The sequence below is a fragment of the Homo sapiens genome, chromosome 1, assembly GCF_000001405.40.
Source record: "Homo sapiens chromosome 1, GRCh38.p14 Primary Assembly".
NCBI lineage: Eukaryota > Metazoa > Chordata > Mammalia > Primates > Hominidae > Homo > Homo sapiens.
In genome coordinates this window covers 58,703,573-58,720,702 of record NC_000001.11, presented here as the reverse complement: position 1 = coordinate 58,720,702, position 17,130 = coordinate 58,703,573, and the positions used below count along the sequence as shown (strand labels likewise).

The window sequence follows — 17,130 nt, the reverse complement described above, 5'->3', positions numbered from 1 at the left end:
TTAAATAATAGTCTTCCAATTAAATAAATAAACACAAGAAAATTTATTGACCCATGGAACTGAAAAGTGTAGAATTCTTGCTTTAGGCACATGGAACCAGAGCTCAAATGATGTCATCAGAACTGGATTCGGCTCCATCTCTTCATGCAAGCTTATATTCAAGAAATATTTATTATCTATTATACACCAGGCACTCTTTTAGGTACTGGGGATACATCAGGGAAGAAAAAAAAATCCTTGCCTTCAGGGAGCTGTCATTCTAGCAAGGGAAGAGGCACACACACACACACACACTAAAGATAGTAAATAAGTAAAGTATAAACCTATATTAGAAAATGTCCCTGCTGTGAAAAAAAAAAAAAAAAAAAAAAGAATAAGATAAGGCAGATTAGGAGTGCCAAAAGTTGGGAAGCAGGTCTTGCCATTTTAAGTAGAGAAGTCATGATAGACCTCTATAAGAAGGTGACATTTGAGGAAAGATTTGAAGGAGGCGAGGGAATGAGCCCTGTGAATATCTGAAATGGACAATTTTTAGGCTGAAGGAACGACCGATGAAAATCCCTACCCAACAGCATGTCTGCCTTCCTGAGGCCAGGAAGGGAGCAGATGTGGCTGGAGTGGAGTAAGCAAGGGAGGAGGGAGGATGGAAGGAAGGGACAGGTAGCAAAGGCCTAATCCCACAGGGCCTAGCAAGCCATTGCAGGGGTTTGAGCAGAGGAGTTGAAAAATCTGGCTTACATCCTAAAAGAGTCATTATTCAACGTGCGCTGAGCAAAGATTTCAGTGGAGGGCAAGAGAAGAAGCAGAGAAGCCAGTTAGGTGGCTACTGCCGTCATCCAGTGAAAGTGGCTTGGACCGCCATGAAAGAAGTAAAGGTGGTGAGAAGGGGCTGGATTCTAAATGCAACTTTGACAGATTGGATGTAGGGTATGCTAGAATGCCCAGGATAAAGACTTCAGTTCCCAAGCCTCCCTGAAGCTAGGTGGAGACACCTAATTCTAAATTTTGGCTCATGGGACATAAACAGAAGTAGGTGGGCAATTTCTCAGAGGGAAGAGGCATGCCCTCCTCCCCACCCCTCACCTCTGTCTTGCTGGTTGACATTCAGCTGTTACACTGGCAGCCATCGTGGGTCATGCCAAGGAGGACAACACCTTAATGAACCACACAGTGACCCATGGAGGAACTGTCACACTAGCCCTGGTCTGCTAATGCATGGCTTGTTACATGAGAAAGACATTTCTACCCTATTTAAGTCATTTTCCTTAGGTCTCTGTAAGAGAAGTCAAATGTTTATCGTACCTAAAATAATGGCCATACAGTGTTCTTCATCTCATCAGTTACATCAGGGCTTTACCTTGCAATCTGATGGTTTAGATCAACACAAGGGGGATATTTTGATGGCAGAAATTAAATCATTTAGAAATTGCTATAAGAAAGTAAGAAGTGTTAATATCTTTTCATAATGCACTATTTGGTTCACAAAATATTTTTAACTGCCTTATTTTATGTAATTCTTGAAGCAACATAGCAAATGAAGCATTATTCTCCACTCTCCTGTGACTACCCAGTGGGTCAGGACCATATCTTCAGTTCAGGGCCTGGCATTCAAGGGTGTTACATTATTAATAAACGAATGAGCAAATGCTTGGATAAGTGGAAAGTGTGATTCCCCATTTTCAGGATGCTAAAAACAGTTCAATGGAGTTAAGCGGCTTGATCCAGGAAATACAGTTTGTAGGTGGTGAAGACAAACAGCTATGTCCTCTGAGTTGACATTTCGCTTTGGATTTTACCAAAAATGAAAGGAGGCAAGAGAAAGACGGAAGAAAGGAGAGAGAAAGCTAAGGGGGAACTAAAGAAAAAGAAAAGAGTTAGTAAGCAGAGAGCTTGCCATTTTTCTGGGATATATCATTTGAAGGGAAGGAAACAAGTGCACACAGGATTTCCTCACCTCCAAGTCCTCAGGATGTAGCATGGCTGATGCAGCAAAGATTCTCAAAGACTTGGCATCTTTCCAGAGGCAAAGCACACCAGAGCAGGCACTTGCACCCGTGGCCATCTGAACTCCAGAGCTGCTTCAAATCACTTTCTCACTGGCAGATTCTTGACACTGATACTCTCTCTGGGTCATGGATACTCCTGTAAATGCAGATCATTAAAAAACCCAGACCAGCAAAGCTGATTGTGTTTACCGGGAGCAGAAAGGGGTGTTCTTTTCCCTCAAGTCATTCTTATGTGATTTTAAACTTTCCTGCTTGCACAACCTGAAGGGAAATCATTAGACTCAAGTTGTTATTTGGTTTTATTTATTTTTAAAATCATTCTGCAGCTTTAGAGTCCGTCTGTTCTACTCATTTAGCAGAGGAGGATGTGGGCAGGGCCAGATGATCTCAGATATAAAGTGAGATGCAAGAGTGTGATATTTATCTCAGGCTGAGGCTGACTGCAAAGGGCCATGATGGCCAGAAATGACAGAGCCCTCCTCCCTGCGCTACACAGCAGGGGCTGGTCCCCTGTGACCTTCTTAGGCACAACTCATTGCAGAGCTGGACCCTCACTTGAGTGGGGGCTGCTATGAACACTGACCTACAATGGCTGTTAAGGTCAAAGCCAGAGGAGGTTTGTATGCAGCACTGCTGAGAAAGACTGTTACCTGAGGCAGTGATACTTGTTAACCAGACCCCAGGCGAGCCCTTTCCACTTAGGATGTCATTATTTCATTTTGTCTCATACCATTTCGTCTTTCCAACAGCCTTCTGAAGTAGAGGTTCTTACCTACCATTACAGATGGTGAAACTGAGGCTGGAGAAGATGAGGACCTTCTAAAGGCACATGGCTAATAAATGGCACAGCCAGAGCTCCAGCCTGTTCACGTTCCACTCCACCATTCACTGTTCATGCCAGTGAACATCACCTTTTTCTTTCTGAGAATCCACCTAAGTTCTTAAATTAGAACAAGCCGTGATCAGACAAAATGGAAATAAAGATGAAATCCCTGCTGTAGAATGTAAGGGTGGGTGTGGGTCTACAGGCTGTCCTGGGAAGGGCCTCAGATGACTCTGTGCTCCCTCCCCCAGGCCCAGGCAGTCTCAGCCCCAGGCCAGGATGGGAAGATACAGAGGCCCAAGGAAAAAGGGGAAAGGGGCCCTTGCTCTGGGGCTAATGAGGTGTAACCACTGCACCCCCAGGCGACAGAGCCTTCCAACATCTCTGGCTCCTTTTATGCCAGATTCAAGCTAATGCTGAAAAATCCAAGTGGTCATATTATATTTTCAAAGGCTTAGTCGGATCAGTAAGAAGAATGCCCTGGAATCTTCACTGATGCAGTGAGGTCTGTTTCCAAGACATGGGGCCTAGAAGCCAAGAATCTCACTGAATCTCATCTGGGCTGCTTAACAGGGGAAAATCACAGCAAGTTCAAGGTGTTGGTGACTGTGATGGAAATGGGCTTCAGTGAGCATGAAATTAAATCAAATAAAAGCGTGGAAAACCTTGAAAAATCCCTTCCCATCTTAAATGAAAACACAGAAAATGTATATGAATAATTCCTTGATGTCCAGTTTTTTCTTCCAAAGTAAATCCCTCGAAGGGTTAGAACAGTTAGGGACAGCATGTGGCCTTCAAAACACACCCTCATATGTAAATAATTAACACAATATCTGTACTTTCAAAATTATTTTTACTATCATATTTTACCTAAACAATGACTTTCTAAAAACAGTTCTTGGCTTTCTCATAAATGTGATAGAAAACAACCTGTGGCATGGAGTTTATACGTAAAACACATTGTGGAAGACCTTCTACACTTTAAGTCCTCAAGTCAGAATAAACAAAAAGATGGCAATATGAGATTTTTGTTGATGCTCTTAGTAGGTCTATTTTATTATATTATGCAGGGTTCTAAAATAGATGATGAGATTCTCATCCTATGAAATGTCCTATGTCTGAGGTAGGACATTAGGAGCTGTGTCAAAATAGGTAAAGATAGAGACCTTGATGTGGCTTGGATGCAGTCTGTGTCCCCACCCAAATCTCATGTTCAATTGTAATCCTCAGTGTTGGAGGTGGGGCCTGGTGGGAGGTGATTGGATCATAGGGGCAGTTTCTAATGGTTTAATGCCATCCCCCCATCCCGGGTGCTGTTCTCAGGCTGTTGACTGAATTATCAAGAGATCTGGTTGTTTAAAAGTGTGCAGCACCTTCCCACCCCCACCTTCCTCCTACTGCAGCCATGTAAGATGTGCCTGCTTCCGTTTCACTTTCTGCCATGATTGTAAGTTTCCTGAGGCCTCCTCATTCATGCTTCCTATACTGCCTGTGGAAATGTGAGCCAATTAAACCACTTTTCTTCATAAATTACCCAGTCTCAGGTAGCTCTTTATTACAATGCAAGAGCAGACTAATACAGACCTGTTCAGTTTAATTCAACAAATATTTGTTGAACACATATGAATCATATATGTATGAAGAATTGTACCAAGTGTGAGAAAGAGCCAAAGTTGAACAAGTCGGATCCCTGCCTTCAGAACCCAAAATCAGGTGGGAGAAATAACTTTAAGCTACATATTTTCTCACATCTCTGGAACTAGGATGCATCTTACAATTGACACCGTGTCAAAACATAATTGGCAGACCTTTTTTGTCTTTTAGGGGCACATAAAATAATGGAGTCACTTACTATCCATTACAATGCAATTTAAGTTTGATTAAATATGGCAGTTATTACATAAGACAAGAGACAGACAATGCTAAAGTAAAGAGGTTTGAAATTCCCGTTCAAACCCAAAAGCACCACCCTCCTTGCGAGAGTATTTGTAGTTAAGTCCTTAAGAGTAAATAAGGTAGTGAAGTAAGGAATGATTATACAAAAGCTCTTATAAAATTTTTTGTTTGCATTAATAAAACAATAAAAATGCACTGCTATTTTATAAATTTAATCAATAATAACGAATATTACACAATCCATTTCCATTTACTTTTCTTTATTTCCTTGAAATTCTTTAGGATCTCCCTCTTTTAGTCACACTAAGATGGTGGCAGTAAACTTGTTTTACTCACCGGTAGATAATATGCAGCTACGAGCAGTTTTATTTTCCAGAACCTGATCTTTCACTTAAATATTCCATTTTATTTTGACTGCATGGCTCAAAGTTATTGTCCAGTCCATGGGTCACTGATTTCCCAGAGATGAAGAACAATGTAGAAGCTCGAGAGGAAAGCAAACAACAAACATAATTTTGGGTGAACATTTTTCCAGTATTCTTAGCTCAGTATATCTGATAGGTGTTTCTCAACCAACAAAACTTCCCACCAGTAATCTCCTCCTCAGACTCTCTGTATACCCCATGCTTCAGCCACAGTATATTACTGCTAATCCCTAAACACATTCTGTACCGTTCATGCCCACTGACCTTTGCTCATGTTTCTCCCTTTGCCTGGAATGTTCTTTCTCTATCTCTATTTCTCCACTTAAAAAACTCATGCTCAATTTTCAAAACCCAGGTCAAACACTACTGTCTTAATTTGGGACTTCCCCAGGAAAGCAGAACCTGAGATAGGGCTTGAAGATCATGATTTATTTAGGAAGTGATCCCAAGGCTTATGGAGCAGGACTGGAAAAGAGGGAAACAGTGAAGGGGAGAGAGTCAATATAAAATAAATACTGAGTTGTTCCCTTCTGTGGGCCACTGGAGCTCCACCAAACATGGACCACTTGAGGATCTGCAAAGGATGGACTTCAGAACTGTTACCTGCAGGATGGATGAAGGGAACATTCATTCACCAGCTCCTGCTCCCCATTGGTCATCAGTTGCCTCATGGAACATTAACACCTTCGTTTTTCCAGGTTGTGCTTGAGCCTGAGGAGCCCTGATGCAGAAAGGGAGAGATGCACGGTGCTGTCAGTTTGCACTTGTGTGAAGCTTGTTGCCATGGCAATAGCTGGAGTAAAAGGTGTGCTGAGATGATGAGAGGTGTTGCACAAGAGGTCACTTTCCTAACATGCACAGGGTTAACTGTGCCCCATAAGACCTCCAAGCTGCCAAGTACCGACCTCTCTCACACAGCATTTGTCTTGTTGCATTGATGATAAATAGTTTATATATTGAGCATGAACTCCTTAGCAGTGATGACAGGGTCTTGTTCACCTCAGTGGCTATCCAGCATAGTAACTAGCACACAGCTACAGTCTTAGGATCTCTCAATGGAGTGAAAATTCAAGTTTTAAATGAATGGGTAATGTTATAGCAGTGAGTCTATTTCTCAAGCAGTTGATTGACTGTTCAAATGAAACCTTATAATGGAAAGAAATCCAGTATAAATAAAGGGAAAATAAGTCAGGCAGCTGAAAACAGTTGACATTGATAAAGATGTGATCATTTGTGATCATGGGGAAAAGGAATTATTTTAATAAAATTATCAGTTGTAGTTGGTGGGATTTTTTTCTTAAAAAATCAGACCTCCTCCCAAAATCACATATATCATATTACTGACCGCTCCATACATACACCAATCCAAAGTAAATTTCAGTGAAATCACATTGCTAAAATCTGTATTTAATCTCACTGGATCCCTACAATAACTCCCCGATTCACTCAGAACAAAAGCTAATGTCCTTACAATGACAGTAAAGCCCCACCACATATGACCCTGTTGCCTGTCTGTCTTCCTCTCCTACTGCCCCCATTGTTGCACACTTCTCTCCACCTCCCTGGCCTCCACCAGGCACATTCCAGCTTGGAATCTTTGCACTGGCTGTTTTTTTTTCACTTGGAGCTCTTTCTTCCATTATCAGCTTGGCAAACTCCTTCACCTTTTCTTTTTCTTTTCTTTTCTTTTCTTTCTTTTTTTTCTTTTCTTTTCTTTTCTTTCTTTCTTCTTTGAGACAGAGTCTCACTCCATTGGCTTGGCAAACTCCTTCACCTTTTCTTTTCTTTTTTGTGACAGAGTCTCACTCTGTTGTCCAGGCTGGAGTGCAGTGGTGCAATCTTGGCTCACTGCAACCTCTGCCTCCTGGGTTCAAGCAATTCTCCTGCCTCAGCTTCCTGAGTAGCTGGGACTACAGGTGTGTGCCACCACACCCAGCTAATTTTTGTATTTTTAGTAGACATAAGGTTTCATCACGTTGGCCAGGCTGGTCACAAACTCCTGACCTCAGGTGATCCACCTACCTCGGCCTCCCAAAGTGCTGTGATTACAGACATGAGCCACTGTGCCCAGCCACTCTTTCACCTTTTCAAGGCTGACCTTATGTCACCTTTCCAATAAGGCCTACCCTGAATTCCCTATTTAGAACCTATAGCCCTCAACCACCATAAACTCCTTCTCTCCTTAGCCTGTTCCTTTTCTTTCTTTTTTTTTTTTCTGGCACTCAATCACCTCTAATAAATGTATAATTAAATTATTATGTCTCTTTTTTATTTTCTTTCCCCTCTGCTAGGAATGTGAGCTCCACCACGGTAGGAAACATTGTGATTTTTATTCATTGGTTTATCCCAAACTTCCAGAACAGTGTCTGGCACATAGTGGGTGCTCAATAAACACTTACAAAATTGAATTGAGTATCTTGACGCTCTGGAGGTAACAATGTGCTTCATAATGTAGATGGTGTGTCAGTCATCCATTCCCCAAACACTGATTGGGCACCTACAAAGGGCCAGCATGAATAATTTAGACATAGTCTTTGTTTTCAAGGAGCTCCTAGGCAAGTGTGGACTCAGGCAGGGCCACAGACGATATTCAGAGCGATGAGCACTCTAACACAAGCATGCACAGTGGCTGTAGGGTCACAGAGGAGGGAGGGTGTGGCTCGTTAGAAAGATATTAAGTGAGGAGACTACTCTAAAGCTGACTTTTCTTGCAGAAAGGGAACTACCTAGACAATAAAGAGAAGGGCTAGACTAGGTTTTGTGCTCATGCATTCTTTTTGTGTGTGTGTATGCATATATTCTACCATGCATGAGCTATAGAAATGGGAGACAGCACAGGTTTATATTCTTCAAAAGTCCTTTAGAATCAATACAGAATGAGCTGTTTTCCTAAACTTAGTTATTTGCCTTCTGTCGCCCTTCATTTCCCCCAAAAGTAGAGACTCTAAACAGGCACTAGAACTTCATAGATCTCTCCCTCATTAATGGGAAGGGGCTTTGGGACTCTATTTATGTTAACAATTTTCCCCTTCTCTGTGAGGTTTTGTATTTTTATCAAAATCATGCTCCAATTTCTTGTCTTTATTTTTACTTGTTTTTAATTATGATAAAATAGCCATAACATAAAATGTATCAGCTTTATCCATTTTAAGTATACAGTTCAGCGGCATTAAGCACAGTCACATTGTTATGCTACCATCACCATCATCCACAGGATTCTTTTCATCTTACAAAACTGAAGCTCTGTAACCATTAAAACTAACTCCCCATTTCTCTCTACTCCTGCCCCTGAACCATAATTCTGTTTTCTGTCTCTAGGAGTTTGACAACACTAGGTAGCTTATATAAGTGGAACCACACGTTACTTGTCCTTTTGTGATTGTGCTGTTTCACTTAGCACAATGTTCTCAGGGTTTATTCACATTGAAGCATATGTCAGAATTCCCTTTCCTTTTAAGACTAAATAATATTCCATTGTATGTATATGCCACATTTTGTTTATCCCTTCATCCATTAAGAGATAATTGGATTGCTTCCACCTTTTGGCTATTGTGAATAATGCTGCTGTGAACACTGGTGCACAAATATCTCTTTAAGTTCTTGCTTTCAATTTTTTGGACATATACCCAGAAGTGGAATTGCTGGATTATATGGTAATTCTATTTTTAATTTTTTTGAGGAACCACGATACTATTTTCCATAGTAGCTGCATTATTTTATATTGCCACTAATGCACAAAAGTTGTAATCTCTTCACAGTCTATCCAACACTTGTTTTTTTTTTTTTGGTTTTTTTGAGAGTAGCCATTCTAATGGGTGTAAGCTGTCAGTTGCTTTTAAAATCTTATCTATCCATAGTTTTTCTCATCTAAAGTATCCATTGATTGTGTGTTTATAAAGTAAGGTTTCTGTTTTTAATTTTTTAAATCCTGGCCTTATTCTTTCCAGTTGATTCCTTCACTCATTCAACAAACAATTATTAAGTGCCTACTGTGTGTCGTGCTAGGTGCTGTGGATACAATGAACAGAGGAGTGTTCCCTGCCCTTAAGAAGCTCATGGCTGGGTGTGGTGGCTCACGCCTGTAATCCCAACACTTTGGGAGGCCGAGGCAGGTGGATCACCTGAGGTCAGGAGTTTGAGACCAGCCTGACCAACATGGCAAACCTCTGTCTCTACTAAAAATACAAAAATTAGCTGGGCTTGGTGGCAGGCACCTGTAACCCAGCTACTTGGGAGGCCGAGACAGGAGAATCACTTGAACACGGGAGGTGGAGTTTGCACTGAGTCAAGATTGCACCACTGCATTCCAGCCTGAGTGACACAGTGAGACTGTCTCAAAAAAAAAAAAAAAAAAAAAAAAAAAAAGAAGAAGCTGGTAACTGTGGGCCAGACAGATCTATCAGAAAATAAGAACACTGAAGCATTACCTGTGGAATGAGAGAAGGACACAGACCAATCGGCACAAACTGCAGGTCAGATGTAGCCCATTTAAGTGTTTGTTTGATTCAACAATGTCTTTAAAAAATTTAAACTGGTTTTCACAAATTAATCTTTATTTCTGACTTCTCTTAAAAAACTCAGAAGATCCAGCAACTCTGAGCCAGAGTTCCAGAATGGCAACAGTAGGCCAGAGCTGAGTCAGAACCAGCACTTTTAGCAGGAGGGAGGAAGCCCTGTGAATGGGGATGGGCTGCGAGTAGGGGAAGTGGTAGGGATGTCAGGCAGAGGGTATATTTTGATGGTAGTTCATGCTTAACTAACCAGCCAACCATATATAAACCCATGTGCATTCCCACACACCCATTCTTCTGCTTTGCCTATAACAATGTTCAATAAATGTCTGTGAAATGAATAAAAACATGATCAAAGAATTTTACTCCTGGAAGAGATAATTTTATAGGTCATTTAACCATCAGAAGTCTAAAGAGGTTGAGTAATTTGCCCGATGTAACACTAACATGAGTCTGCAGTGGTTAATAGATTGCACTAAAGGCTTGGGGGAACACAGGGGAATTATACAACACAGAACAGTCTAGTGGGCATCTGTCATTCTGCCTGCCTGACATCCTTTTCTCCTCTCTGAAAATAGCCCTCTTATTTTGCTTAGGAAGCTACCATTCCTTCTTTTTTCAGGTGGCCCTCGTGGAACTGAGTCCATCTGGCATCAGGAATGGCATGAGATCCAGGCCTGGTCAACCATACCCATCCACCTGGAGCTATTGGGAAAGAGGTATAATTTTTCCACGGGGGTCGCTGAGAAGAAAAGGTGTAAGTCTGAATGATGCTGTTGGTACCTAACCTAAGACTGCATGATGTAATTGAAAAGATGATAAGTTACATTACCTTGGGTAAATTGCTTAACTATTCTGAGCCTCGGTTACCACATCTGTAAACGGAAATAACAATATCTACTTCAAAGGGCTGTTGTCTGGCTGGAAAGAAATAATGTATGTAAAATGCCTGGCACACAGTAGGAGCTCATTAATGCTGGCATTCCTTCTTTCCCTTTCAGATAATGTCAGATGGATATAGCATTACTGTAATTAAAATGTAAGAAGTGCATTGGCAGACTTTCCTTACAACATATTGAGAACAGCTTTTTCAGTAGCTACCTTATGTGATTTCAGGGAATTGGGGAGGGAAAAGAAAATAAAATGCAGCTTGCTTTCCTGGAACAATTCAAGCCATACCCAATGCCTGCCAAGTGTAACCCATAAGTTTATGTCTGCATCCATCTATTATCTCACCTCTATATAGATAAAGTGGTTTTCCTCCCTGCCCACTAGCTATTGTATTTTTAAAATGGAAACTCTTTGAATCCCTGGCAATCATTTAGCTGACAGTTTGGATCATAACATAATAATAACATTAGGAGCAGTTGTATGACACTTCCTGCTTTGAAAGCATGTTACAAATCTGAGCTAATTAGCATGAATGCTAACATGCCAGCTTTTTATGGATTAATATTGCAATTATACTTTCCTTTTTCAATAAAAATACAGTGATCTTTTTTTTTTTTACTCAAAATGGGAGAAAACAAGAAATAAATAGGCAGCCTTCCCAATGGATTCAAACATAATGTAGTAGAAATATGAGACAGACCCTTTATTGACTGAATGTTCCTCTAACAACATCCATGAGGATTTACAGTATGACATCTCCTGTTAATTTTGTTTTAGGATCAACAAAGGAAATAGAATGTATTGATGGTGGCAGAAAAGGAACTTGTAAAACTGAAGACAAAGTTCCAACCTTTAAAATATACTTTCTACTTATTTCTAGATGAAGCACCTTGAACAAGTCAGAAAATTGTCCACTTATAATTTATTCTTAAACAAAATGAGAAAATACCAGCTCACATAATATTGCAAAATACCATATTCTTTCTGTTGTAGTATGAAAATATAATACAGTAAATGTAGAGTCAGAAAGACTTGGGTAGGAGTCCCAGCTCTGATAGTTACCAGCTGTGGTAACTCTCTGACTCTTGTTATCCTCACCTCTAAAATGGGGGCAATACTACTTACTTGGCAGGATTCCTGGGAGGTCCAAGGAAGATTCTGCCTTACACAATATCTGGGATAGGACAGGTGATCATATTAGCCCTGACCCTCCCTTTCTGTTTATAACTCTTCTTCCTCCTCTTCCAGTCTAAAATTATTCTGACATTAATTCAGTTTGCAGGAAAGCAGAGTACCATAAAGCATAAAAATGTTCTTTCCTATGTAAGTGTTATGTATTTTTAAATATACAATTCTCTTTTTAAGGGGACTAGGAATAAAAAGTTCATTTTGATGAGAAAAATGTATGATCATCTGAAAACGTTCCTTTTAACATAATGTTAAACTGTGGAGGTACCTCACTTGGATTTGGCATTTTGCCCTTGGTTCTGTGTACAAAATTAGTAAAAAGTGATGTGACTAGGTATAAAGTGGGAAGGTTGCCTGGAGCATACTTAAAAAGCCTATAGACAGGTATGTGGGGCAGGGAGATGAAGAGAGGTTGGTCAATAGGTACAAACATCCAGTTAGACAAAGGGAATAAACTCTAATGTTCAATATCAGAGTAGGTAGCTATAGTTAACAATAATGTATATTTCCAGTGTAATGGATTCATGCTATTAGTCATGGCCTTCTGGAACCATTTATTCAACGAATATTTATTGAGTGCCCACTATACAGCCAGCACTGCTGTGGACCGTAGGAATGAAGAAATAAACAAAACAAAGTCCATTCTTTCACAGAGTTTATCTTGTCATAGTATAGGTGGTCTGGCTAATGGGATGGAAAATATTAGAATCTTCCTCCACACTAGAACCAGAAATTTGTAACACTACAGCTTCCTACTCCTTGGACATTGCTTGGAAGTGCATTGACAGCATTTACCACTGTGAACTTAGACGTGTGAATTCATTTGGGCCTGAATGTCTTTCCATTTATTTGTTTACTTGGATAGCTCTGCTCTGATGAGGTGATCTCACCTTTTAACTCTGAAGACAATCTGTTGTTTTGTATTCACAAGTTCTGAGGGTCAACTCTCTACAGACCTAAGAGCCGAAAAATTGTTTATACACACACACACACACACACACACACACACACACACACACATGACAGTCTGGTGTGGGAAAAAATAACATTAGCTTTGAAATTGGCTTTGGTTTGAACTCTTGCTCCATTAATTCCTAGTTCTATGTCCTTTAGCAAGTTAGCAACCCCTCCCAACCCCTTTTTATTGCTTTAAAAAATAATAATAGAAGTAATATATTAATATGTTTTTATGTTTTGAAATTGGCTTTGGTTTGAATTCCTGCTCCATTGATTCCTAGTTCTATGTCCTTTAGCAAGTTAGCAACCCCTCCGAACCCCTTTTTATTGCTTTAAAAAATAACAATAGAAGTAATTAATATATTAATATGTTTTTATGGTTAACATTCAAACTTTGTTTTATTTTACTGATTGTATTAGTGTTTATACTACTTTTTTTTTTTTTTTTTTTGAGCTGGAGTCTCGCTCTGTCGCCCAGGCTGGAGTGCAGTGGCGCGATCTTGGCTCACTGCAAGCTCCGCCTCCCGAGTTCATGTCATTCTCCTGCCTCAGCCTCCCCAGTAGCTGGGACTACAGGCACCAGCCACCACGCCTAGCTAATTTTTTGTATTTTTAGTAGAGACAGGGTTTCACCCGGCTAGCCAGGATGGTCTCGATCTCCTGACCTTGTGATCCACCTGTCTCGGCCTCCCAAAGTGCTGAGAGTACAGGCATGAGCCACCGCACCTGGCTATACTACATATTTTTAACATATCACAATAATAGCTCATTTAAGTGATATTATATCACTACTTGTATAGTATACGAACTTTACAATATAGCATTGTAATTTCTTCCTTGCAATTTCTTCCTTCCTGGACCTCACATTACTGTTGCATATAGTCAAATTGTTCCTTGCTTTTAGAATCTTAACTGCCACAAAGCTCACATCAATATGAACAGTCCATATAAGTATATATATAATTTATGACATATATATGTTATAAATCTCACACTATGTTATTTATGTTTAAACAGTCAATTCTCTTTTAAAGAGATTTAAATATTAGGAAAAAAATCTTATATATGTACTCATGTAGTTACCTAATTCCCTATTCTCTTCTTTTATGTAGATCTAGATTTCCATCTCATAACATTTCCTTCTGCCTGAAAGATGTCCTTCAACATTTCTTGTAGTATAGGTAGATTGAGAATGAACTCTTTCAGATGTTGCATATCTTTAAAAAGCCCTTACTTTGTCTTCATTTTTGAAAGATATTTTTAATGAGGTATAGAATTCACATGTGGCTGATTTGTTTTTTCCTTTCAGTACTTTAAAGATGTTGCTTTACCCTCTTCTTGCTTCCATTCTCCTCAACATGAAATTTGCTGTCACTCTTATCTTTTTCCCTCTATAGGTAATGTGCCTTTTTTTCTTTCTTTCTTTCTTTTTTTTTTTTGAGACGGAGTCTGGCTCTGTCGCCCAGGCTGGAGTGCGGTGGCGTGATCTCAGCTCACTGCAACCTCCACCTCCCGGGTTCACGCCATTCTCCTGCCTCAGCCTCCCGAGTAGCTGGGACTACAGGCACGCACCACCACGCCTGGGTAATTTTTGTATTTTCAGTAGAGACGGAGTTTTACCACGTTGGCCAGGATGGTCTCAATCTCTTGACCTCGTGGTCCGCCTGCCTCGGCCTCCCAAAGTGCTGGGATTACCGGCGTGAGCCACCGCTCCTGGCTACCTTTTTTCCTCTGGTAAGGTTTTCTCTTTGTTACTGGTTTTGAGAATTTGATTATGATAGGCCATAGTATGGTTTTCTTTCTTCATTTTTATTTTTTTCCTGCTTGGGGTTCCTTGAGTTTTCAGGATCTGTGAGTTTGTAGTTTTCTTCAAATTTGAAAATTTTTTTAGTCATTTCTTTAAACATTTTTCCTGACCTCCCCACCCTCTGCTTTTCAGAGACTCCAATTGCATATATACGAGGAAGCCTGAATTTATCCTATAGCTCAGAGATTCTCTGTTTATTTTTAATATTATTTATTTCTCCATGTGTTTAATTTTGGATTGTTAATTTTGTTACGTGTTCAAGTTCACGAATCCTTTCTTCCACAACCTCTACTCTGCCATTAGTCCCATCCAGTGTATTTTCATCTCAGGCATTGTAGTTTTCATCTCTAGAAGAACAATTTCATTATTTTTGTATTTTCCATGTCTCTATTTAACTTTTTGAACATATAGAACACAGTTATAGTAAGTATTTTAGGCCGGGCAAGGTGGCTTATGCCTGTAATCCTAGCACTTTGGGAGTCTGAGGTGGGTGGATCACCTGAGGTCAGGAGTTCAAGACCAGCCTGGCCAACACAGTGAAACCCCATCTCTACTAAAAATAGAAAACTTAGCTGGGTGTGGTGGCAGGCACCTATAATCCCAGCCACTCGGGAGGCTGAGGTAGGAGAATCGCTTGAACCTCAGAATCAGAGGTTGCAGTGAGCCAAGATCACGCCACTGCACTCCAGCCTGGGCGACAGAGTGAGACTCCATCTAAAAAAAAAAAAAAAAAAAAAAAAAAAACTGTCTTAATGTCCCAGTGTAGTAATTCTAACATCTGTGCCACTACTGGGTGGGTTTCAGTGGATTTTTTTCCCCTCATTATGGGTCGTATTTTCCTACTTCTTTGCATGCCTGGTAATGGGATGCCAGGCATTGTGAATTTTACCTTGTTTAGTGCTAGCTATTTTTGTATCCCTATAAATATCCTTGTACTTTTAGGAGAAAAGGGGTATGCAGTGAAGTTACCAGGAAACAATTTGATCCTTTTAGGTCTTGTCCTTAAGATTTGTTAGGCAGTGGCAGAACAGTGCTTCACCCAGAGCTAAGCATTCTCCACTACTTGGGCAATACCTTTGTGAATCCAACATATCTGTCTCAATCAATTTAGAAAACTTATATTGCTGAGTTTAAGGACGCACCCGTGACACAGCCTCAGGATGTCCTGACAACATGTGCCCAAGGTGGTTGGGGTATAGCTTGCTTTTATACATTCAGGGAGATATGAGACATCAATCAATATGTGTCTGGAAGTTGTGACAGCCATGGTGGGGGAGGGGTCTTCCAGGTCTTAGGTAGATAAGAAACAAAAGGTTGCATTCTTTTGAATGAGCTCAATTCCCACTTTTAAATTAGCTCAGCCTTTCACTGAATACACAATTTAGACTGGCTCAATGAATCTGCATTTTTACATAGACTGGCTCAGTGAATCTGCATTTTTACATTAACAATAGGGCAGAGGAAGCAATCAGATATACCTTTGTCTCAGGTGAGCAGAGGGTGACTTTCTGTCCCACCTATGAAGATGAGCTATCAATTTACATTGCCAGGGTGAAATTCAACAGAACTGTTTTGGGTAAAGATCTTGAGGTCCACAAGGAATTTCCTTGTGCGCAAATTGTGAAGGAGATATGTAGCTTTTTTTTTTTTTTTTAATCTTTGCAGCTATCTTATTTAGGAATAAAGTGGGAGGCAGGTTTGCCTGACATAGTTCCCAGCTGGACTTTTTCCTGGGCTTAGTGATTTTGGGGTCCCGAGGTTTATTTTCCTTTCACACCCTTCAGATTGTCTACCTGAATCATGAGGTTTTTTCAGTCTGGCCAGTGGGAGCAGACACTATTCCTGGCTCTGTGTGAGTGCCCAGCATTGCACTATGCCCTCTAGTATTTTTCCATTGCTTCTTTCTTTAAGTTAGAAACAGGGGTTTTTATTTTGTATTTCCCACGGTCTAAAGTGGTACTTGTCTGACGCATCCATGTGAAGAGACCACCAAACAGACTTTGTGTCAGCAACAAGGCTGTTTATTTCATCTGGGTGCAGGCGGGCTGAGTCTGAAAAGAGAGTCAGCAAAGGGTGGTGGGATTATCATTAGTTCTTTTAGGTTTTGGGATAGGCGGTGGAGTTAAGAGCAATGTTTTGGGGGCAGGGGTTGGATCTCACAAAGTACATTTTCAAGGGTGGGGAGAATTACAAAGAACCTTCTTAAGGGTGGGGGAGATTATAAAGAACCTTCTTAACGGTGGGGGAGATTACAAAGTACGTTGATCAATTGGGGTAGAAATAAATCACAATGGTGGAATGTCATCAGTTAAGGCTATTTTCACTTCTTTTGTGGCTCTTCGGTTGCTTCAGGCCATCTGGATATATGCGTGCAGGTCACAGGGGATATGATAGCTTAGCTTGGGCTCAGAGGCCTGACAGTACTTTCAAATTTTGACTGACCCACGTTTTCCTCAGAAGTACAGTAAAGGAGAGGGTTCATCCTGGGCTAAGTGCCCCTCTTCGGAGATCCCACAGCAGTTTGTAGGTTCTCTATCATGAAGCTTATTATTATGATTATTACTCTTTTAGCACACATCTGTAGCAGACGTGGAGCTACATGGACACGTAGACGTGCAGACATGGA

The 17,130-nt window shown here is 40.5% G+C and overlaps 1 long non-coding RNA gene across 1 annotated transcript in view, besides 1 other annotated feature; it reads right to left on the bottom strand.

Annotated features, from left to right (window-relative positions):
* Nucleotides 1–7,647, bottom strand: part of LOC112268263 (uncharacterized) — a 47,142-nt gene extending 39,495 nt beyond the window's left edge. Inside the window, exons 1-5 of the long non-coding RNA XR_007066129.1 lie at nt 7,550–7,647; nt 5,754–5,871; nt 5,062–5,209; nt 2,783–2,946; nt 1,955–2,142 (exon numbers count right to left, since the gene is read on the bottom strand). This is a non-coding gene — a long non-coding RNA (uncharacterized LOC112268263). The remainder of the gene's footprint in view (nt 1–1,954; nt 2,143–2,782; nt 2,947–5,061; nt 5,210–5,753; nt 5,872–7,549) is intronic.
* Nucleotides 15,631–16,473: an enhancer, noted in NCBI's record as "OCT4-NANOG-H3K27ac hESC enhancer chr1:59169902-59170744 (GRCh37/hg19 assembly coordinates)". NCBI's record gives its function as "activates a minimal SCP1, AML or CMV promoter by ChIP-STARR-seq in primed H9 embryonic stem cells {active_cell/tissue: H9 hESC(primed)}" and the evidence as "EXISTENCE:reporter gene assay evidence [ECO:0000049][PMID:30033119]".